At 38.7% G+C, this 23,612-nt stretch overlaps 1 long non-coding RNA gene across 2 annotated transcripts in view, besides 4 other annotated features; it reads left to right on the top strand.

The window, feature by feature from the left end:
- The first annotated feature begins 9,392 nt into the window (after nucleotides 1-9,392).
- The window catches only part of LINC00824 (long intergenic non-protein coding RNA 824), a 159,411-nt gene continuing 145,191 nt past the window's right edge, over nucleotides 9,393-23,612 (top strand). The window contains exons 1-4 of one of the 2 annotated variants that reach the window (NR_121673.1): nucleotides 9,393-9,843; nucleotides 12,946-13,002; nucleotides 13,524-13,832; nucleotides 14,496-15,044. This is a non-coding gene — a long non-coding RNA (long intergenic non-protein coding RNA 824). Of the gene's footprint in view, nucleotides 9,844-12,945; nucleotides 13,003-13,523; nucleotides 13,833-14,495; nucleotides 15,045-23,612 lie in introns of those variants that run through there. The other variant, NR_121672.1, reaches the window with a different exon arrangement.
- Nucleotides 17,137-17,281: an enhancer, noted in NCBI's record as "145 bp enhancer 33 fragment used in the MPRA reporter construct; PK_construct_3118". NCBI's record gives its function as "activates an SV40 promoter by MPRA in HepG2 and K562 cells {active_cell/tissue: HepG2 | K562}" and the evidence as "EXISTENCE:reporter gene assay evidence [ECO:0000049][PMID:23512712]".
- Nucleotides 17,204-17,214: a transcriptional cis regulatory region, noted in NCBI's record as "NFE2L2 motif; enhancer activity is reduced when this motif is scrambled". NCBI's record gives its function as "necessary for full MPRA enhancer 33 activity {active_cell/tissue: HepG2 | K562}" and the evidence as "EXISTENCE:site-directed mutagenesis evidence [ECO:0005528][PMID:23512712]".
- Nucleotides 18,334-19,533: an enhancer, noted in NCBI's record as "P300/CBP strongly-dependent group 1 enhancer chr8:129566785-129567984 (GRCh37/hg19 assembly coordinates)". NCBI's record gives its function as "activates an origin of replication core promoter dependent on BRD2, BRD4, P300/CBP, MED14 and CDK7 cofactors, with strong dependence on P300/CBP, by STARR-seq in HCT116 cells {active_cell/tissue: HCT116}" and the evidence as "EXISTENCE:reporter gene assay evidence [ECO:0000049][PMID:35650434]".
- Nucleotides 18,595-18,889: an enhancer, noted in NCBI's record as "tiled region #4031; HepG2 Activating non-DNase unmatched - State 5:Enh". NCBI's record gives its function as "activates a minimal TATA promoter and a strong SV40 promoter by Sharpr-MPRA in HepG2 cells {active_cell/tissue: HepG2}" and the evidence as "EXISTENCE:reporter gene assay evidence [ECO:0000049][PMID:27701403]".

Raw genomic sequence — 23,612 nt, 5'->3', positions numbered from 1 at the left:
CAGGAGGCTAGTTTCTCATTTGGAAAATGGGGCTGATAGTAATGACCTCGCTGTGTGATTATGACATTGTTCATTTAAAAATATTTTGCAAATTGTGACAAGAAACATATTTTTGATATCTTAATCATTAATTGATTTAGCAAAAATTTGTTATTAATGTGTTATGTGAAAACACTAGGCAAGGTCTAGGGTGGCAAAAGTAATAAAGTCTTGTCTACCCAGAAGAATCTCCTACCTATAACAGAAGCACATAATGCAGCTGTATTCATGATGACTTTTTAGAGTATTTAATCACATTCTTCTTGAAACCCATTTCTTTTGTATTCAGTTAAACCATACTGCAGATGTTCTTTCTCTCTTTCAATTTTTTTCTTCTCAGTTGCTTTGGCCAACTGAGTTCTCTACACAGTTTCCAAATGTTGAAGTTCCTACAGTCTATCTCAAGCCAGTCTTTGATCTAGATCCTTTCCTGCACAACCTTATCCACTGACTTTAAAGTTCTTCTCTATGCCAAAACCTCTAAAATTTATATTTCTAGCCCTTAATGTGATTTCTTAAATTCAAAATTGTTAATATAACTATCTGATTTTTGAACTAAGCGTGCCCATACTAGAAACCTTGACTTGACTTTTAAATCTGTTGCTACATTTGTTTTTCTTACTCCAGTAAATGTTACCTCCATTTACCCAGATCAACAGACCAAAAACCTGGCCTTCATTATTTATACCTTCCACAACACACCCTTTCAAAACCCACCAAGAATATTCCTACCTGTAGTGCCATCATTCTATTGAAAGCCATCAGCGTCACTCACCTGAATCATGGCAATAATTTTCTAATTGATCTCCCAGAGTCATCTTTCTCAAACAAAAATGTATTTTTTTCTGAAAACCCTACAATAGCATGCCATTGCATTTTTCAGAATCAAAAAATAAAAAAAAAAAAAAAAAAGAAAAAGAGAGAAAGGAAAAAGAAAATCTGTAACATAATGTACCAGGCTATGAAGGCCTGGCTTCTCCCTTTCTTACCAGTCATGTCTAAGGTTACCCCCTTGCTGACATCCAATCACTTTATTCTTCTTTTGGGTCTTCAGGCACAAGCACTCTCCTGCCTCAGGATATTGCACTTGTTCCAAACTCTCTTGTTGCCTTCTCCCATCCACTGCACCTCCACTTAGCTAAGACCGACTCATACTTCCAGGTTTAGGTTAATGTCACTTCTGCATTTCGAGTAAGCCTACCTTGACTTACCTGTCTAAAGTAGACCCCCTGATACTTTTTCTCATGGGATGTAATTTCCCTTTATGGAATTTAAATGATACTAATTATATGTTTATGTTTATATGCTTACAGTTTGTCTTCCCACTTGAGAGCATACCCCATGGGGAAAGATATTAGAACATCTATATTCCTAAATACCCAGCCCCCAGTATAGTGCCTGGCAAATAGCAGACATTTAGAAGATATTTATAGAATAAGTTAAAGAATGACAAAAGTTTTTATTACCCAGATAATTGAAGCTTGACCCTTTAAATCACAGTTTTTAGCTAAAATGTTTTGAATGATATTTGTATTAATCATTAACATCACTTCTTATATTGTTTTTTAAAAATTTTTGTGGGTACATAGTAGGTGTATATATTTATGGAGTACAGGAGATGTTTTTATACAGGAATGCAATGTGAAATAAGCATATCGTGAAGATTACTTTTTATATTGAAGGAATAAAACATAAAATCATTGTTTTCTTGATAATTTAGATAAACAAGAAACAAAAGATAAAACATTTAATGCAGACAAGGCTTATATTTAAGGTCAAAAACATACTGAAATAGCATAAGTTACAGAAACTTAGCTTTATAACAGTTAATAAGAACATAACTCAGGAGTTTTAGTTTGACTATAAATTCAAAATGAGTCAACAGTGAATATGGCTGACACGCATAGACACAAGCTGTATTAGTAGAATTATAGATGCTAAAATAAGATAGGTGAAAGTTCAATTCTATTCTGGACCTAAAATGTCTATTTACTTCAGGCCACCAACATTGAAGAGGCATGTACAAACGTGGCACGGTATCAGAGGAATAGGACTCAATGCAGAGAGGTCATCTTATTGTTCTCATGAGTTTTCTCAACTGCCTGACGTAGGTATTCTCTAAGATTCTGAGCCCAGTTGACATCCCTTGTCATTGGATAATTGTAGAATCTTAGGCAAATTTCTTCACTGTCATTGTCCCAATGACTATTACCAGTCATTAATTTCCCAAATCTATATAACTTTCTCAGACCTTTCCCTGAGCTTCAGATGCTCAAATGCCTGTTGAGTATCTCTCCCTGGTTATCTTACAGGGACTTCCAAGCCAGGACTTTTTCCCAATGCAACGTTCCATTTACAGCAGTGCTGTTCGCCCACTAACAAATCAAAAACTGAAGAGATTTGTGTCTTAATCCGTTTGTGCTGCTATAACAAAATACTACAAACTGGGTAATTTATTCATAGCAGAAATTTGTTTCTCACATTACTGGAGACTGGGAAGTCCAAAATCAAGATGCTGACAAGTTTAGTGTCTGGTAAAGGACAAATCTCTACTCTAAGATGGCACCTAGAATACTCTGTCCTCACCTGGCAGAAGGTGGTGGAGCAAAAAGAGGCCTAGCTAGTTCCATTCAACACTTTTAATAAGACTATCCATGAAGTTGGAGCCCTCAATGCCCAATCACCTTCTAATGGACCCACCTCTTGCTACTGTTGCATAGGAAGTTAAGTTCCAATATGAATTTTGGAGGGCACATAAACATTAAAACCATAGCAAGATCTTAGCTGCTTCTTTCTCAGTCCCCAAACCTATTGAAGTAATTACATATTTTTCACTTCCTTGGATAGCACCTGTCTCTAATGCCACCTTCTCTTACCCAGCTACCACTTCCTAAGGTTTAGGAAAGCAGAGGATTAAGTTGTCTGGATTTTCTAGAAAATAACAGGTAATTAGAATGTGAATGGGCCTCTTTGGATTCTCCCCTGGTTGTGTAGTACAGCTTACAACAATAAATTTAGTCATGTTCATTTTGTCTGCTTTATTACAGTTTCTATCAGACCAAGCTATTTCATGCCATGATGCCTTTACTTATGCTGTTTCCTTCACCAGTGATACCCTCCTAACCCCACTAAATCTCTCTGCATAGAAAGTTTCCACTCATCCTTTAGGATTCATCCAAGCCACACATATAAATATTATCCTAGGATGTAAATTGTCTAAATATTCCACTTAAAGTACACAGAGTTGCAAGTTGGATTAAAAAAATAAGATCCAGCTATGTTGGTCTGCCCTGCAGATATTGAGCTTTCCAAGCCTAACAATCACGTGTGCCAATTCCTCAAAATCTTTCTATATATGTGCACACACACACACACACACATATACATGTGGCTGTATACATATATGTGTATGGTATGTAAGTATATCTTTTCATATAACATACATATCTCTCTCTTTATGTAATATTATTTTTATATAATATTTATATATGTATAATTTTTATATTTTTTGTAGAGATGGGATCTCACTATATTTCCCAGGCTGGTCTTGAACTCCTGGGCTCAAGTGATCCTCCAGCCTTGGCCTCCAAAAGTGCTGGGTTACAGACATGAGCCACCTTCCCTGGCCTATAATAATATTAGGTTTTAGGAATAAGACCAGGTTGTGTGCTCTTGCCACTGACGTTTGGTCCTGGGTAGCATAGTAAACCATGAATTAGTGAATGAATGAATGAATGATATTGGAATTGAATTTTTAAAATTATGACAGCACATATGATTTTCATATATATTTTTATTTCAATTTACACATTTATTATTATCATTAATAAGAATTTAACAAGACAGATAATTAAAAATTAAATATCTACCCACATAGCAATAAATAGAAAACAAATTTTAAAAATTACAATTTCATTAAAAAGTATGCAGAAATTAAATACAAGTAAGACCTTCATAGAGAAAACTTGAATACTTAGTTTATAGATATAAAAGCAAAGCCTAGTAGAGTGACAAATGAGCCAAGTTTTTAGATTAGATATAATGTTCAAATATATTTTATTCTAATATAGATACATCGGTCTTCTCCACTAGAATATCAGCAATGTTTTCAAGAATTTGACAGGCTGATTAGAAGCCTCCTATAATCAACCTATTTAGAATTCAAACCCCTCTACCACACCATCTCAATCCCACATAGCCTTGTCTATAATTTGTATAGCCCTTTTACTTTCTGGTATTATTTATAATATAATTTATTTCTTATTACTGTTTGTGCCTATTCTTCCCCACACACATTAATTTGTAAGCTCCACAAGGATGGGAAGTTTTGTCTCTTTACTGCATGATGCAGCCAAGTACCTGCTACATAGTAGGTGGTTGGCAATAATTGGTTGGATGATGTTTAAAACCAATGTAGCTGGGTATGGTGGCTCATGTCTGTAATCCCAGCACTTTGCAAGGCTGAGGCAGGAGGATCACTTAAGCCTAAGAAAGACCAGGCTGCGAAACATATGAAGATCCTATCTCTACAAAAAAAATAATTAAAAATTAGCCAGGCATTGTGGCACACACCGGTGGTCCCAGCTACTTGGGAGGCTGAGGCATGAGGATCGCTTGAGCCCAGGAGGTTGAGGCTGCAGTAGCCATGATCACACCACCAGACTCCTGCCTGGCCAACAAAGCAAGACGCTGTTTCAAAAGAAAATAAGTGAAAAAAAAATAAGTGAAAATGTGTATTAGTTTCTGATACAATTGGAAAATAATAGCAAAGTTACTGTTGGATAAAAATTAGAAAGATACCCTCCAGGCTTATAGAATATACTAACTAGGATAGTGCAGTTTTTGGATAGGTCAAAATAAACTAGCAGAAGATGAAGGAGAAACTATAAACAGATTCAATTTATGCATGTATGTGCACCCCTGATGTATTGCAGAAATGCTATCAGAGAGCATTGGGCAAAAGAACAGTCTTTACAATAAATGGAGCTGAAACAACAAATTAAAAACAAACAAAGACTTATTCAAATCCATTGTCTCTAAGAATGTCTTCTCTAATTGTCTGATCTGACTAACCTTTCTTCATTTGTGGCTGCCCAGCTCCCTAGACATGTAGCTGTTATGACATATGTGAAGCTGTGTTCTAACGGTTTGTTAAACCTGGCCAACTCCAAAATACCAAGCCTTTCCATTAACATAGAATTGAGATATAATGTTCTGGAGTAAATTCCAGGGCCTTGTCAATATTTCCAAAAATTTTGAGAAGGTAGGGAAGGGTGTTACACTTTCCTGGTTCCATCACAAGGAAATTTATCAAATTTGATTATAAAAATTTAAAATTTTGCAAAATTTATGCACACCAACACTCACAGACAAACATGGCGCTGCTTGCAGTTGAGAGAAATGTAAACAAATATAAAGATGCAGTATTAAATCATAACTGCATAATATTAACAGTAGTACCTACTATACTACTGTAATAATTTCACAGCTACCTTCTGTTGCTATTGTGGTGAGCTTGTGTTGCAGGTATTTGTTTAAAACACCATGTGACACTAATCTTCTCCTTATGAGCAGTTCTCTCCAGAAAATTGTGGATCAAAGTGAAAAAGTAATCTCTCATGGCTCTCAGGGATTTTTCATCATGATTAGTGAAATATCATAAATTTTGAGTAATACCATGGGATCCATACAAAGTGCCACTAATGTTACTGGAAGTGTTCCCAAGAAACAAAGTTATGATGTTACAAGTAAAAGTCAGATTGTTTGATATGGATCATAGATTGAGGTTCTACTGCTCAGATTTCCCATTTCAGATAGAAGATTCATCTTATAAACAGATGTGATACACCTACAGTATTGACATATACAGTATGACACCATTAAGGTATTTTCTCTTCCTTATAATCTTCTTAATAGCATTGTTTTTTTCTCTAGTGTGCTTCATCATAAGAATATAGTATATAATACATGTAACATACAAAATATGTGTTAACCAACTGTGTTATCAGTAAAGCTTCTGGTCAACAGTAGGCTATTAGCAGTTAAGCTTTTTGGGCAGTCAGAAGTTATACTCAGATTTTCAACTGTGCAGGGGTCAGCAACCTAACCCCTGTGTTGTTCAAAGGCCAGTTGTAGCTTGAATCATACAGCATGCAGCCTTTTTAGATTGGCTTCTTTCACTTAGTAATTTACACATTTTTCTTACTGTTTTTTCATAGGTTGAGAACTCATTTCTTTTTACTGCTGAGTAATATTCCATTGTTGGACATATCCCCAGTTTATTTAAATCATTTTAAAATCATAGTTTTTTAAACTCAACTTGTGTCAACTTTTTAATTTGGATCCATGACTTTTCACATAAGTAGAAAATAGGTTTTCTTCTAAGACAAAACAAACTCCACAGGTTGATTCTTGTCCTCCCTGCCATCGTCTTATTCTCTCCTCCTCATTGTCTTATTCCTCCTTCTCCCGCACCTTATTTCTTCCCATCTCCCTCCTTTCCTCCTCTTTCTCCTCCTCCTACTCCTTGTTGCAGGAGTTCTGTGATCTGTCTTTCCTGCTAGAATCCCAACTTTTGAGGGCAGGCATTATGACTTATGTATCTAGTGATACCATAGCCCAACACAAAGTATCTTCATTAAACCTTCAGTTACTGAAACACCGAGGTTTTCCTTGGTTGACACCCGGTTTCCTGCATGCGTCCTGGATAGAGCAATGACTTCATAAGTAGCCTCCTGGTACATACTCCTTCATGCTTGTTTATTTGAGTGTGTGTGTGCGAGTTTGTGTGTGTTACACATAACAACAATATCTAGCCTTATTAGCAAAACTACCTGTGTATTACTTCATGCAAGCATTGCAAAAACACTATGAAATATGTATTATTATTACCTCCATTTTACAAATGAGAAAACTGAGGCTCAGAAAGTTTGGATAATTTGATTAATTTTAAAATAATCGTTAAATGGCACAGTCAAGAACTAAACCAAGGCAACTTGACTCTGAAGCCTGTGGTTTAACTATTACACTGTACAAATAAATGTATGTACCAGTTTTATCACATAGAATGGCTGCTAAAATAAATTGGTAAACTCCAGTGTTTCTAAAGACATTACATGAAAGGTCTTTTAGCCCATATCTAATACAGAATAAGTTAATAAAAATCTATAATGAAAACTTAAAATCTTCTCTGGGAAACTAATCAATGCTTTTAATCATTCTCTGACAAATACATTAGTGAATTAAACTCCATATGCATGCTCAGAAGAAAGAAGAAAATTGCTCAAAATGCCATGTTGTCATCTTTTTGCTTAGACACATGAAATCGCCTTGACATTATGATTTACAGTGGAGACTTGCAAAGATAAACACAAATCTTCCTTTTCCCATTTATTTACTGGAGAAGCAGCTATATTCTAGCCTTTTGCTGATTGGGTGGGCACAGTCAATGAGCCAGCTTCTAAAATCTGAATGGTAGTAAGCAAATTACAAGATAGGTTAGCAATTTAGGTAATGTGCTTTGGAAACTATAGTATATAATACATGTAACATACTAAATATATGTTAACCAACTGTGTTATCAGTAAAGCTTAAGCTTTTTGAGATCAAAGACAAGAGGAATAAAACCATCAACACACACATGCACACACACAGTAGGCCAAATTCTTGATTTTGATGATGTATGCTACACTGTGGATTTTAAAAGTCCTGTTCAGAAAAATTATCTTCAAATTTCATTGGTGAAAATTCAGCATAAAGAAGGGTGACAGAGCTTTAGTGAAGTACACAAATGAAGAGAAGAAATCATGCAGTTTGGGGGCCCAGATCCTTCTCTGAAAAGTATGAAGCTTTCAAAAAGGCATAGCTAGACCTTGAAGATCATCTACACCAACAACCCTCCTTTTTTCCAAGGTGCAATATGGTACCCATTTAAGAGTTTTATATTGTGTGGAGGCTAAAGCAACTTCATCTTGGATGCTAATCCACCATGTTGACTTCTGATCAACTCCAGTTCTGGGAATGCCTCTAAGATTTCTACTTTCACATACTTACTGTAAATCCAGCCCTTAAGTCGAAACAACTTTGATGTTATTGTAAATGCGTACTTATCATAAACTCTGCCCTTAAGCAAATTCTCTATGGTATATAAGCCCTGGGTCTGGGGGTAACTGGATGGGGATCCAACATCTTATCCCTCGGCTTTTTGTTTGTAGGTCTTTATTAAATGTTTCTTTCAAGGAAACTGGATATGTCAGCCTCTTTCTTCAACCTCTCAGCCCCCTGGGCCTTGGGAAGAAGATGTGCATATGCCTGCCCACTGCAAAACATACTAGAATCTCAGCTTCACCATGATCTACCCTTGTAACTTGTGTAATAATTTTTCTGAACTTTAAACCTCTTGCGGGATTAAGTGGGACATTCAGGAGATATGCACAAAACACCTTAGGTGATGCTACTTCCCTTCTTCATCACTGTGGGTGAAAAAAACTAAGACTTCTCTGGTAAGCACCCAACAATGTTGCCTCTTTACCATCTAAATGGTATGTTTCCTTTCAGTCACAGCTCTGGTTTAAAGGAAGCATTTGCACAAAGGGTCATTGCTGTGATCTTCCTGGGCTTATCTTACCTTATCTCTCCAGCTAACATCTGACCCCTTGATTCAGTGCTCAATACATTCCTTCCATCCTTTCCATTTGGTTGAAATTTTTCTCTTTGACTTCACAAAACAAAACCACCACTCTCAAGCCTCAGACATTTTAAGGGTTTATAATAAAGTCATAGCTTACATTTCTGGCATTATCTTCCATAAGCCTTCCTTTCACTTTCCACCCTCCAGTCATAGCAGCCTTTCCCCTACTAGAATATGCCAGATTCTCTCCAACCCCAGGGCCTTTGCACATGCTATTTCTGCTGCCCGGGTTGCATTCATCCTCACTTAGTTAATTCTTATTTCCATCCTCAGTTAGTTAATCCATATTACCTTTCAGTTTTCAATGGTCAAGTCTGCTTATTTTATGTGCTCATGGGCACCATACACTCCTGTTTTGAAAACATTCCTCATGATCATCACTCTGTACTTTGATCCATGGCTGTCCCAATGGACAATGTGAGCCATAAGGGCGGGGATTCTCTGCTTCTGCTAATCATGGTAGGTACTAAAACTATAGCTGATGTTTTCACTCACCAATATCTGGGTAAAATGTAGCATTGCAATTCCCTGCACCCTCTAAGTTAGGATAGACCATGCAACTTGTTGTGGCCAATGGCAGGTAAGTAGCGATGAGGTATACCACTTCCTGTCACATGGCCAGTGCAGGAGTCACTGTGTTTATTTCAGTTTTCTACTGCCTATTGTACATGCCCTAACATTACTCCAAAATCTGATCCCCATCAGCCCTATCAGAACACTATTTAAAAGCTCAGCTTACTTCAACTGTGGCAAAACAGTTATGGCCCAGGTAAACAGAAGAAGGTAGACTCCACCGTAACAAATTTAGTTAACAGGAAGCAATCCCAGATCTATAGGCACAGAGAAGAATAAGAGAGAAACTTCACCCTAATGAAATTTAGACTTGAGTTTTAGAAGATTTTCCTGGAAAGACTAAGTAGAGTCAAGAGTTGAGATAAAGTGAAGGCATGAAAAGCAGAATGATGTGGAATTTAAAAGATGAAGAGCTATAAACGTGTTAATTTAATTGGCACGATCTCTCGAAGACAGATCCACTGCAACCACGAAGAAGAATTATCCTTTCTACACAGGGCCATTTTTCCACGATGCTACTACATTGGCCATCACAGAGCACAGTAAGTTCATGATGAGATTAATTCTAGAAAACAAATCACAGTAAAATCTTTGAAATGTCCATCTGTGTCTGTGGGGAAATGAGCAGCAAACTTATGGAAAAGGAAGCCAGCTAAGGAGTAAGACATTGGCTTGAGAGGCTTTGTGATGACACAAAGACTCCAAGAAGGAGTAACGGGTAAGTCATTGCATCAGATTCAATATGTGTTGTGGGGCGTGTGGAAGGAAAGGTTAAAAAAAAAAAAAAGATTATAGCTGAAAAGGTTAACAGATTGTAAATAGAAGTTTTTTGTTTTGTTTTTTAAGCTCTTTAGTGGAGCTTGAAAGTTAAATGTCATAGGCAATAAAATTAAAAGCCAGCAAAACCTACAAATTCTATAGGGACTGTGTGACCCAAAATGCAAATTATGTTCAAGGTTTGCAGACAGCTTGAGTCCATCACAATGACCAGGTAAATGGATTTTAGAGGGGGAACAATCCAAATAGGTACGTTGTTAAGTATGGATCTTTCACAATTCAAGGATGCTGTATACATTACTCATCTCATTCTTCCCAAATCTTCACATGCATGAGGTTGTGCATGATCTATCTAACCCTACCTTATTTATGTCACCTAGTACCACTAGCCCACTGAGGCTTCATGATCTAGACACTGTAGCCTTGTTCAGTTCTTCAGATTCACGTTCCCTGCCTTAGAGTTGCACATGTGGTTTCCTCTGCTGAGAATGCTGCACTTCGCCCCATCCCTCTAGATTAGCTGTTCTCCTCAGGGGACATTTGAAAATGTCTGGAGGCATTTTTGTTTGCCACAATTGGGCAAAAGTGCCACTGGTATCCAGTAAGTAAAAGCCAGGGATGCTGCTCTTTAAACGTACTGCAGTGCACAGAACTAATCCCCACAATAAAGAATTATCCAGTCCCAAGTGTCAGTGCCAAGGCTGAGGAACTCTGCTGTATATAACTCATAGTTATCTGTCTTTCAGGTTTCACTTCTCCTGGGAAGCCTTCCTTGATTTCCATGATTAGATTAGGAAGTTCAAGTCACCTTACATTTCTACTTTGTAGCAATCATTGCAATTGAAATTAATTAATTTTTTGTTTAAGTATGTGTGTAATCTAGTCAAAAGAATAGCTGGAGGGACATACAGAAAGACATTGTAATCCCAACAGTTTGGGAGGCCGAGGTGAACATAGCACAAGGTCAAGAGATCGAGACCATCCTGGCCAACATGGTGAAATCCCATCTCCACTAAAAATACAAAAATTAGCTGGGCGTGGTGTTTAGCCTATAATCCCTACTCAGATGCTGAGCTACTTGGGAGGCTGAGGCACAAGAATTTCTTGAGCCCCAGAGGTGGAGGTTGCAGTGGGCCGAGATCGTGCCACTGCACTCCAGCCTGGTGATAGAGCAAGACTCTGTCTGCTGGTAACTGAAGAGAAAAATGATCAAATTCCAGGGAATAATGGAAACATTTTAATCATTTCCCTTACTCAGTGCTGTCATCTTTCAATGGATTTCCCCAGTTCTACCTTCCTTTACTTTTCTCCTTAAGAGTCCAGATTCACTCAGAATGCCCTTTTCACTTACTCCCATTTCATTTTGAGGCTTCTTAAATCCAAGGCCCAAGACAGAAATTTCAATTTGTCTCTGGTCCTCCTGACTGACACTCAAACTCTTTTTAAAAATATTTTGCTAATAACAATCACATCTTATGGATTGTCTTTCATGTGTTTCTATGACCCTCAAATCTCCTATTTCAACAGAGATGAGAACAGAAAGGAATGAAGTCCCAACAACAATTCTTACCTGCCACATCCACTGGGAAGAAATAGACAAGATAAATTAGGGAGAAAGAAGAGTTCCTATAACTGGAAGTCAACACACATGTTCAATCTTCACTCCCAAGTCCTAAATCCTACCTCACAATTTTCTTGCTTTCTCCCTTCACTCCAAATTACCATAGTACTGCTTTATTATCTTAGTCTATTTCGGCTGCTGTAACAAAATATTACAGATTGGGTAGCTTATAAACAGAAATTTATTCTTATAGTTCCGGAGGCTGGGAGGTCCAAGATCAAGGTGCCAGCAGATTCACTGTCTGGTGAGGGCCCCATTTCCTCTTTCATAGATGGCCATCGTTTTCCTGTTCCTTCACATGGTGGAAGGGGTGAGGGATCTCTTGGGGGTCTCCTTTCCAGAGCATTAATCTCTTTTATGAGGGTATTTCCCTAAAGTCCCACACTAACTAATCACTTCCCAAAAGTCCCACATCCCAAAACTCTTATGCTGGGGATTAACTTTCGACATATGCATTTTGGTGGGGACCCAAACCTTCAGGCTATAGCACTTATTTTGAGCCTTATCCTTTCTTATTGCTACATATTTTACTAAGATGAACTTTCTCTAGGCTCCACAGCACAATGTGTTCACTCTATCCAAGCACCTATCATAATATGCTGTAATTGATTTTTCTGATGTTTCTTCCTATGAAATTGTGAGCTCCTGGAGTTGAGGAACCATGTTTCATTATGTTTATGTACCTAACATATGAGAAAAATGACTATTTCTATTCTGAAAGGGCAAATATTTATTAAAGAAACTCACTCTATTTTAAAGCTGAAAGTAATAATTTTACTCAATTGTATTACAGTGAAACTCTGGTACATTTTGAGAAATTCTGTAGTTTTAAATCCCCAAAGACAATGGTCTAAATATAGTACTAAAAACCTATCTAATTCTTTGAATGGACATTCATAAAATTGGAAAAACAATTGGTTAAGAAATATATGGCAAAATAACCTGAGTAATCAAATAAATACGACTTTAAATACAATTTTTAGTTTTTTTAAATAAAATGGGACTATCTAGTGTTGGCAAGAGTGTAGTCACATAGCCATTCTTATTAATCTTCAAAGTGTAGATTGCTAAAAAGTCTTTTCAAAGGCAATTCAGCAGTAAGTACCAAGGCAATTGAAATACAACTGATACCAACAATAGAAATGGGTTTGTTGTGATTTTCAAAAAGTAATTCCGAAGTATCACAACTCTTCCTCTTTTCCTTCCTTTCCCATTCCCTCTTCACTTTCCCTTTCCTCTCTTGTAGATGGCATCACCAGAAACCAAGAAGATGGTAAGGCCTGGAGGTGGCAGAGCTGAAGAGGTGAGAGAAGGAAGCCTGATGAAGAAATACAATTCTAATGGTAAACCTAGGGAATCAGGAAATCAATTTAACTAAGCCAGCTTCAGTTATGGCTTCTGGACAATCCAGTGTTGTAAACCCTTTAAACAGAAAGTCATCATAAGAAACCATTGGGAATAGAGGTTGATTAAATACATAATTAGAATCTGGTTTCTCACAAAGTCCTGGGAAAGACTAAAACTAAAAATTTTTCACTTGCACAAAAAGTGGTCATTGCTTTGAGTGTTCTAATACCTTCCAAATTTATCTTTTAAAACCCAACATAAGATCTTTTTTAAAATCACTTTTTACTCTTTAATAATTGCTGGAGACAATTCAGAATCTTTCTTAGGTTTTACACAGTCATTGCCAGCTACTCTTTATCTCTGTGGCTCTTGATTCAATTCAAGTTGGCAGGCATTTACGGAGTACCTACTATGTACCAGGCACCATGCTAGGTACAGCATGTAAACATGAGTGTGACACCATCTCTGTTCTTACAGAGTACATGACCCAGCAGAAGAAATAAGCACAAATACAAATGGTGACAGAAAAATAAGATGTGTCACAACTGACTTAGATTCCAACAACCACAACAGCACAGAGGAGGAAGCGAGGTGGTGCTCCCTGGAATGACCCAAACACAACAATATCTGAGCTTGCTCTTGAAGGACTAGCAGTTTACCAAGCAAAATGGAAAACAGAAATTGAGTCCAGGTCTAGATATCAAGAAGCACAAAGAGATCCAGAAAAGACCATGGAGAATTCAAAGACCAGCAACAGGCTTCAAAAGCCTTCTATGAATAGGGCATGTAAGGATTTGCTGGGGGCAAGGGTGGGTTTGAGAGCTGGAGATGGAGATGAAATTAGTGAACACCATGCCTCTCTCTTGTACTAAAGAGGCCGCAGGGAAGACAAAGCTCAGTTGTATTCAACAAAGGCCACTCAGGTAGCACCATAAAGGAAGAGCTGTAACACGGACACGGGAGTAGTGGAATCAGTCAAGAGGGAATTTCAAAGGTCAAAGATGAAAGGCTGGCTGGGCGCGGTGGCTCACGCTTGTAATCCCAGCACTTTGGGAGGCCGAGGTGGGCGGATCACGGGGTCAGGAGATAGAGACCATCCTGGCCAACAAGGTGAAACCGCATCTCTACTAAAATACAAAAAATTAGCCGGGCATGGTGGTGCGTGCCTATAGTTCCAGCTACTCCGGAGGCTGAGGCAGGGGAATCTCTTGAACCCAGGAGGCAGAGCTTGCAGTGAGCCAAGATCGCGCCACTGCACTCAAGCCTGGAGACAGAGGGAAAGTCCATCTCAAAAAAAAAAAAAAAAAAAAAAAGATGAAAGGATGTGGGTCAAAAAGGTGTTTGGCATGAAGCATCAACAGGAAGCTGCTTCTATAGCAAATCTCAGGATTTGCTCAGAGCATCTGAGGGTCTGGGTGGAGGGTCTTATTTTCATTTCATACTTGGTAGGCATGGACCCTTCTCCTCTCACCCCCCAGCACATATGAAGGGGTATGGACAGTGTTGGAACAAGATGGTCTTGGATTCAGAAATAAAAGGAGTCAGAAGCTGAAGACCTAAGGGTAACACAAGACTTCCGGGTTCTGGCCGGGCGCGGTGGCTCACGCCTGTAATCCCAGCACTTTGGGAGGCCGAGGCGGGCGGATCACGAGGTCAGGAGATCGAGACCATCCCGGCTAAAACGGCGAAACCCCGTCTCTACTAAAAATACAAAAAATTAGCCGGGCGTAGTGGCGGGCGCCTGTAGTCCCAGCTACTTGGGAGGCTGAGGCAGGAGAATGGCGTGAACCCGGGAGGCGGAGCTTGCAGTGAGCCGAGATCCCGCCACTGCACTCCAGCCTGGGCGACAGAGCGAGACTCCGTCTCAAAAAAAAAAAAAAAAGACTTCCGGGTTCTGAAAGCAGTGCAGCTTGGAATTTTCAGAAAGTGAATTGACTTCCTGTAGCTGATTGTTTTTTATTTTAGGAAAATAAAAATTATTACTTTTTGTTTAAATGACAAAATTGTATATATTTATTATGCACAGCATAATATTTTAAATATATCTACATTTTGGAATAAGTAAGTTGAGCTAATTGACATTACTTAGTTTTTATTTTTAGTGGTGAGAATGCTTAAACTCTACTCTGTTCGTATTTTTTAAAGATACATATGTTGTTACTAACAATAGTCATCATATTGTACAATGGCCTTTTGAATGTATACCTCCTAACTGAAAATTTGTGTCCTTTGACCAACATCTTTCTAACTTTCCCCCACCCACACTTCCCCAGTCCCCAGTAACCACCATTCTATGCAACTTCTACGAATTTAACTTCTTTAGATTCTACATATAACTGACGTTATGCAATGTTTGTCTTTCTATGCTTGGCTTATTTCACTTAACAAAATGTCCTCCAGTTCCATCCATGTTGCTGCAAATAGCAGGATTTCCTTCTTGTTTATGGCTGAAGAGTATTCCATTTTGTATATATACCACAATTTTTAAAATTTATTCATTCGTTGATGGACACTTAGGTTGATTTCACATCTTGGCTACTGTAATGCTACAGTGAACGTGAACGTGCAGGCATCTCTTTGGACATACCGATTTCATTTCCTTTGTAATGTACACCCAGTAGTGGGGTTGCTGGATCATATGGTGGCTCTATTTTTAACTTTTGAGGAATCCCGTGACTGATTCTAAGTTAGTAGGGGAAAATTAAGAACAGGCATATAATTCCTGCAGAAATATTTCTAGTAGGATGACTGTCACATGCAGCTGCTGGGGTGAAAGCACAGTTATAAGAGCTGGGACATCAGCATCAGGCAATGAGAATCTGATTCCTGCTTCTCCCCTCACCAGCTGTGTCATCTCCAGCATGCTATCTAAACAGTGTGAACCTCAGTTTTCTCATCTATAAAATGGAGACATTCATTAATCAAGTGTTGTTGTTGAAGGCACAAATGTAGAGCGTTTGTGAAGTCCTTAGTCCTATACTTGGCATGTGGTATGCAATAAATATTGATTGGTTGATTTGGCCAACAAATATTATAGTTCCTGATACTTGGAAACTGATGTTTACCTTTTTAGTAGCTCTGATACCCATAGTTGATCCCCTGATCCCCTGGATCCACAGTGATCCAATGAGTGAAATCAGACAAAGATGTTTATCTCCACTTTTAAAAGTAAGGAGGCAGGCTTAGGGGGCTACACAAAACTTCCAAAAGTTGCACAGTGAATACAGAATAAACCTGAGAATAGATTCCAAGTATTTAGACTAAGTTTTAAGCGCCTTATAATTTATCACCCATCCTTTGATCTTTGTCTTCTTCCACAAATATTATTGAGTTTCTGTGACGAGCTAATCCCTGTGGTGAATAGAGTATTCTATGTCCTGAGAGTGGAGGCTTATGTATCTCACAATCCTGCCCTTCGAATCTCGCCCTCCTCCCGTTTTATGATCAGAAATGTGTTCTATTCAACTCTGTCAGTGGAAACTAGTAGAGAGCCTGGCACAAAGTAAGTGCTCATTAAATAGCTAGTCAATGAGATTATTGATCAATAGATTATTCTAATACAGTTTTTTCCATGACAACTGTCCCTAGAATTGCAGGTACTGAGCAGAAGGAGGAACCTTTTCTCTGCAGAACCTCATAGGTGTGCAGTAATGCATAGGCTTTGAAGACAAATAGACCAGTATTAAATCCCAGCGCTGTGTGACTTTGGACAGCATGAACCTCAGTGAAGTTTATCTGGAATAAACTTTACCTGAAGTTCATTAGAAACTTCAATGTCTTTATCTGGAAAATGCAGCCAATAATACTTGCCTGGCAAACTTGTTTTGAGAATTAAATTAGTTGACCAGCTGAAAGTGCCTAGGTTAGTAAGCTGTCACGTAGGAGGTGCCAGATCAATGGCAGTGATTATTACTTGTGCAAGGTACAAGAGGTGGCATCAATTTGAGATTCATAAATATGCTAGGTATGTAGTGGGACCATCACCCTTATTAGAATTATAGCTGGAATATCCCATTGGGTTAAGCTGCACTCTGAATACAGGGTTCCTTCTCAGATTGAGAAACCCTTTGTGAGCCTTCTCTTCACCACTGTACATGCGGAGGTAGGAACAAGTGCTGGCCTTCCACCACTGCTTCCTCTCACCCCGTGGGGAGGGTGGCTGAGTCATGCTGACTTGCACCCAGTGCAGCTTGCACTCGTGTCATTACAGTGCAGAGGTCTGCAGGCGCCACCAAAGTGAGTTCTGGCTTTTTATCCTCCTTGTTACAAAGGCCAGAATCACACATAGAACAGAATGTAAACAAATTTTCCAAGCCTCTATTTGTTCTCAAATTGGTCAATGTTTCCTGTCCCACTGCCCCCGGATCCCCACCCTCCACTCTAAACCTCAAAGACTAAAAATGCAAATAAGTGAAATCTTCAACAGTTATTGATTTGAAGAGAAGCTTTGAGCTTGAAACCCTGATTTTTTTTTTAGATTATTTGTAGCACTTTAAGTACAAACTTGGACAATTTATTTTCTGCATAGTTTTGAAAATGTTTATAGAATAACTGAACCCAGAAATATGAAGGACTAAAACCTAGAAACCCAATAAATAAAAAGTGGAAACAATCTTAATGATAAATAAGAGGAAAATGATCAACTAAAACTGTGAAATTGTGACACACTTATATATTGAAATACTATCCCTAAAACAATGTTAGTTTTAGTGACATTAGAAAAATGTTTAAAATATAATGTGTATAAACAGAGATAGAAAACTCGGCATACAGCAGGATTCCAATTGTTAAATATGTTTAAAATGTACCAAGACGACTTCTATATATGATTATAATGATTATTATTTTTACCTGTTCTTTATGCATATCCACCTTTATACAACAAATGCTTAAAATCATTATACTCAAAAATGTTTTAAAAATGTAATTGTATAACTAATTTTCAATCGTCTTTGCCCTTGAAAGGGAGTTCTAAGACCAATCACTTCAGTAAGAACTTAACTAGTAAACACTTGTCTCTCATGAGGTTATAGTCATTCTCATTGACATGAACAGGTTAAAGACAGCAAGAAATGTGTTTGTGAAAAGTCAAGTGCCGTCTGAGTTGCCAAATTTCTGGAGAACAGTGTTGTATGGAATAAAACGAAAATAAAATCCTAGATTGTGAGTTAGGAAATCAAAATGTTAATACTAGCTGTGCCACTAAATGGTTGTAGAGCTGGACTAGCTTACTTCCCCTCTTTGTTTTTGACTTGTTTCATTTGTAAAATGAGAAAAAAATCACTCCTTCACTCGTTCATTTATTCACTTCTTTAAGAAATGTTTCTCAAGGTTATATTGTGGGTTGAGTACTATTGTAGACACTGAGGACAGATCAGTGGAAAAACACAAATGTGGCTCTTGCCTTCAGAGAACTTATGGTCCAGTGGGGAAGAAAAAGCATGGACTACTAACTAAGTAAATATGTGTAATAGTATCAGGTGCTGTGAAGGAAAATGAAGCCAGGTAAGGAGAAAGAGAGCAGCCTGCAAGGTCCCTAAGGAGGTGATTTGTAAGTAGATAACTGAGTGAAACATAGAAGCAAATCTTGCTGCAATCCAGAGGGGAGGGTGTCCCAGGTAGAGGGAATAGCCTATGCAATATACGGGAAACAGAAGTGTGGCTGCAGTCGAGAGACTCAGGCAGAGAGTGACGAAAATGAAAGTCAATTCTTTTCCACTGCCGTATAACCAAATAGAATCCATGGGAGAGCCTGTCGGCAAGCTCAAAATGCTCCTGGCGCACTTGAGCTCTAAAGTCCAAGGCCTTCACACAGGGAATGCATTACAGGAACTTCATCAGTTCTGCCGTGATGCTTTGAAGGCCCGCTGTGCAACTATTAGCTGATCCCACTTAACAGACAGTGACGCAGTCACCAGGCATGTTTGTGCCCAAGCAGGTGATGATTTTCTCTCCACTGACTCCAGTCAAGGACTTTTCCCTTCCAGGTTTCAGGCTCCAGGTGACATTGGGCACAGAGGGTCAGGTGGAAAGTGAACAGGTCACGCGCCGGGCAGGTGACACGATCGGTGCTCTGCTCACATTTCAAAGAGCCCACTTTTCCTCCTATGTGTCAAGCACACAGTTACTTTGAATGCTGCAGAGTAAGATGATTCATCAATTTCCGAACGCTTGAGAAAGGAATCACTGTTTAGATATTTTAAATGTTTTCCTAACCCTTACAGAGGTAGCTATAGCTCAGGAAGATAAACTGAAATGAAGGTAAGAACAAAAAAAGAAGCAATTGCTCTCATCTATAATTATAAGCTTTATCATTTATTGTGCACTGATAGTTGCATTTCCAAGCAGACATTATTAATTAGTGAAATAATGAGGCAATTTGCATTCATCCTGATTCAGAAAAATTCAAACTACTTCAACAGACCAAGCATAGGTAACTCAGCCTAATTACTTTTTGCTTTTTTATTAGATGAGGAAACCGAGGCATATAAATGGAATGGATCATGAAATGAAGTAAAGTTAAAGAAGTTTTAGTCAAAGCTTCATAGAAATCAGATTTTCATCAAGGATGAAAGTGAATTGGGATTATTTGTAGAGATGTATTAGAGTAGAAGGAGGTTAATTACTTTCTGATTAGGTTAACCTCTGAGTATCACCATCAGCTTTGGCAGGTTATCTAAGCTCTCTGAGTCAGTTTCTCTACCCATAAAATGGAGCTGTCAATCCTTGTCTGACATGCATGATTGTTCTACAGAATAAATGAAAAACCTATGTGCCTGCAAAACAAAAGTGGGTTGTCATGTGAATGGATGGCTACTGCCCAGAGCCCAGGAGAAGCACCATTTCAGGAGCGGGGTGGGGAGGAGGCTCTGCATTAACCTAGAGTGTGTTGGGCTACATAGTTCTGGAAGAACTTCTATCCAGCAAGCTGGGACCACACAACAGAATGAAATTAAAATCAGCTTAAGAGATGTGTGTGATGTCTAGATGGGTTTCTAGTCTGAGGCATACAGAAGAATCCTGGCAGATCTGTTTTCCACACACACAAAAAAAGAATAGAGCCAGGAGAGTTTGGAACCAAGTGGTTCCAACCATATATCCAACCATCCAATGACCTGATTCTGAAATGAGTTGATTTGTGAAAGCATTTGTAGGCCTGCTTTTACAGGATGCTAGGTTTGTGACACAGAGAAGCTCTCATGGCTAAAATGTTCTGCTCTGTGCAATTAGAACTGACAGCATATATCTAAAAAATGGCATTCACAAGTACTTTACGCACTTTAGGAAAACACTTATATTGGACAAGCATAAATAGCAAGGGGCCAGGAGGCCCCTTTCCTATGTTAGTTTCTTTTTGTTTTGTTTTTAAACAAGGGTCAACCAGTCTTCTGAGGTAAAACAGAAGAAACAATAAATAATCAGAAACACAATGTCACGAAGGCTCTTTGCTTTTTAAACTCAAAGAAACACAAGCTGAGAGAGGTTTAGTCACTTCACTCAGATTACAAAGTGTAGACAGTGTTAAATCAGAATCCTGAGTCAGGGATCTTCCCTTCCAAGCAAGGTGTTTTCTTACTTCACCCAACATGCCTCTTCATGGATGCACCTTCCTGAGTTGCAGCCAGCTCCTCGGAGGGTAAGATGACTGTCATTTCTGAGTCCGAAGATCAGGCCATGATGTGGTTTGGCTGTGTCTCCGCCCACATCTCATCTTGAATTGTAACTCCCATAATTCCCACGTGTTGTGGAAGGAAACTGGTGGGAGATAACTGAATCATAGGGGCAGTTTCCCCCATACTGTTTTAGTGGTAGTGAAAAAGTCTCACAAGATCTGATGGTTTTATAGGGGAAAACCTTTTTGCTTGGTTCTCATTCTCTCTTGCCTGCTGCCATGTAAGATGGGCCTTTTGCCTTCCAGCATGCTTGTGAGGCCTCCCAGTCACGTGGAACTGTGAGTCCATTAAACCTCTTTTTCATTATAAATCACCCAGTCTCAGGTATGTCTTTATTGGCAGTGTGAGAAAAGACTAATGCAGGTCACTCAGGATTCTCATCCCAGAGAGAATAAAATGAAAAGCAAAGTTGTTGAGCAAAAAGCAATATGCTGTTTGGACTCAGAGATCTGGCTGTGGTCTCAGATAAGTCAATGAACTTCATTGAGTGTCAATTTCCTCATCTGTTAAATATGGATAGTGGAGGCTACCTTGCTGATTTGTTTGGGCATCGAATGTTACAAGAAAATGACATGTGAGAGACATTAATAAAGAGGAAAACAGCAAAGAAACATCTCTGTTCTTTCTCCTTCTGCTTCACTTTCTTCTCCTCAATGCTATTATTATCTTTTATCATCTTACCCTCATTCAATGGCATGAAAATAGCTTCTCATTTCATCTAGGTCTTCATCACATATATTTGATTTGATTTGCTTTATTGGGCTCTAGGAGTATGAACACAGTACAGATTGTCTTACATTGGCCTTATCTTTCTTCAAGCTGCACTCATCTTTCTGAATAACCTGAATGAAGGCAGGAAGCAGGATGACAAGGGGCTCTGCATCTTTCCGTATTTATCATTTGGTAGGAATAATGTAAGGATTCTATGTTTCCCCCACCATCGACTGTAATATTCTATTCTATTGTCTTGAATTGCTTGTGATAAGGAGGGAGTGTTCGTTAAATATTATCTAGCTAATAGTACCCTTATTTGTATAGGGCACCTGTTATCCCAAGGTTTCACTTTACCCAACAAATATCTCATTATCTAAACGATACATCCCAATGCCACCAATAACGAAATCTCCTCCACAACCTCAGTTTCCAAAAGAACTAAAAGTTCTAAAAAGAATTCTTTGGTTGTGTTTCTAGGCTGTTTTCCCACCCCTTGGAAAATATTGTGTCACAGACTTTATTTTTCTGTTGAGACCCAGGAAGCAATAAGGTCTGAGGCACTAGGTTGGGAGACAGGAGGTCCATGCTTTGACGGTGATTGTGGTGGTTATTTTGATGATATCATACTTGATCACTTACCACATGGCTTTCGATTCTTATGTTTTAATTGATGTAATTCTAACCAAAATATCGGTCAGGGTATTTTTGATATAAGGAACACAAGAACCAACTGAGAATGGTATAAATAAAAGACAATATTATTATCTCACTTAAAACACTTGTGATGGTAGGATGCTTTCAGGATTGGCTCCACACCTTGGGATTCTCGCCTCTTCAGCCTGTCGGCTTTTGCCTTCAGATGTTTCCTCTCAATGAACAAGGTGGCTACTGTAGCTCCAGGCATCATAATAATATGCAAAATTTAAAATGGGAAATGAAAATCTGTTTTCGAGCCCCTTTTTAAGAACAAGAACAAGGAAAATTTGCTAAAAGCCCACTAGAGAACTTCCCTCCATGTATCACTGACCCCATGTCCATTATTAAGATATTCACAGGCAAGGGAGGAAAACTGCTGCCCTTGGCTTAAATTGGCCAGTACATGCCCACATGTGCACGTACATGCACACACACACATGCACACACACACGTGCACGCGCACACACACACACACACACACACCATTCCATGGATAACGCTGAGGAGGGACACAGACTCTCGTAAAGCAAAAGAATGCCAATTAACTCATCACCGTTAAGATTCTATTAGCAGGCAAAAACGGAAAGAACAACCATCAGCTAAGTAGCTATTGTTAGCCTGAGAAGCAGAGGTTCAGAGTAGTTATTAACTACACCAGTCAGGGTAAATTGACCACTGTGACAAAGGACTTTAAAAATTAGTGGACTAATAGAACGAAAGTTTCTATCCTCCCATTCAGCTGGCAATAGAGAAAGAGAGGGAAAATTGTTCATGGAATGTTCTGGGTCAGGCCTAAAAGTGCTGCATATCACTCAGCTCACATCCCATTGGATATAACTCAGCCCCCTGGGCACACAACTGCAAGGGAGAGAAAGAAAGGGGAGCACTCTCCCATGGTCACAGAGCAGGTGGCCCAGCAGAGATGTCACGCCAAGTAGGTCTCATGCATGGGTGAAGCCACATTGCCTGTCATCCTGATAGTCCTCCTACCTGTGTGGCACTTTTAGGTATCAATGAATTTAATTTTCCTATCAACACATTTCCTGCTGAAACCATCTATGGTCATTCCTGCCCTTATCATGGTAAGTTTTAAATTGTCCTTTTAAAACTCACTCATATCTTGCCTGAGGTCTCAATTTCTTTGACCTCTTGGATATTAGATGTTATTGGCTCCCTGTTCTAGAATCATCACCTTTCCTCAGTTCTCAGACATTAACTATTCCTGTCTTTCTGCCAGCCCATCCTCTTTTTCTTTTTCCCCTTCTTTCTGATCCCAGTTGTTTTCCCTCTACCCATCTCCCTATGGAAAACTCTGCCCTTGACGATGGCTCCATTCTGATCTTTGTATTAACATCTGCAAAATGCACATTATTATTCTGAGCCTGTCACCTGACCATAGGCAGTAATTCAGATGTTAACATTATTACAATGACTACTGTTACCTATATTCACACTATCATTATTATTACTCCTACAAATGTCT

Source organism: Homo sapiens, chromosome 8 (assembly GCF_000001405.40).
Source record: "Homo sapiens chromosome 8, GRCh38.p14 Primary Assembly".
NCBI classification, from domain to species: domain Eukaryota; kingdom Metazoa; phylum Chordata; class Mammalia; order Primates; family Hominidae; genus Homo; species Homo sapiens.
The sequence above is the reverse complement of the archived record's forward strand: the minus strand, read 5'-3'. Positions and strand labels throughout refer to the sequence as shown.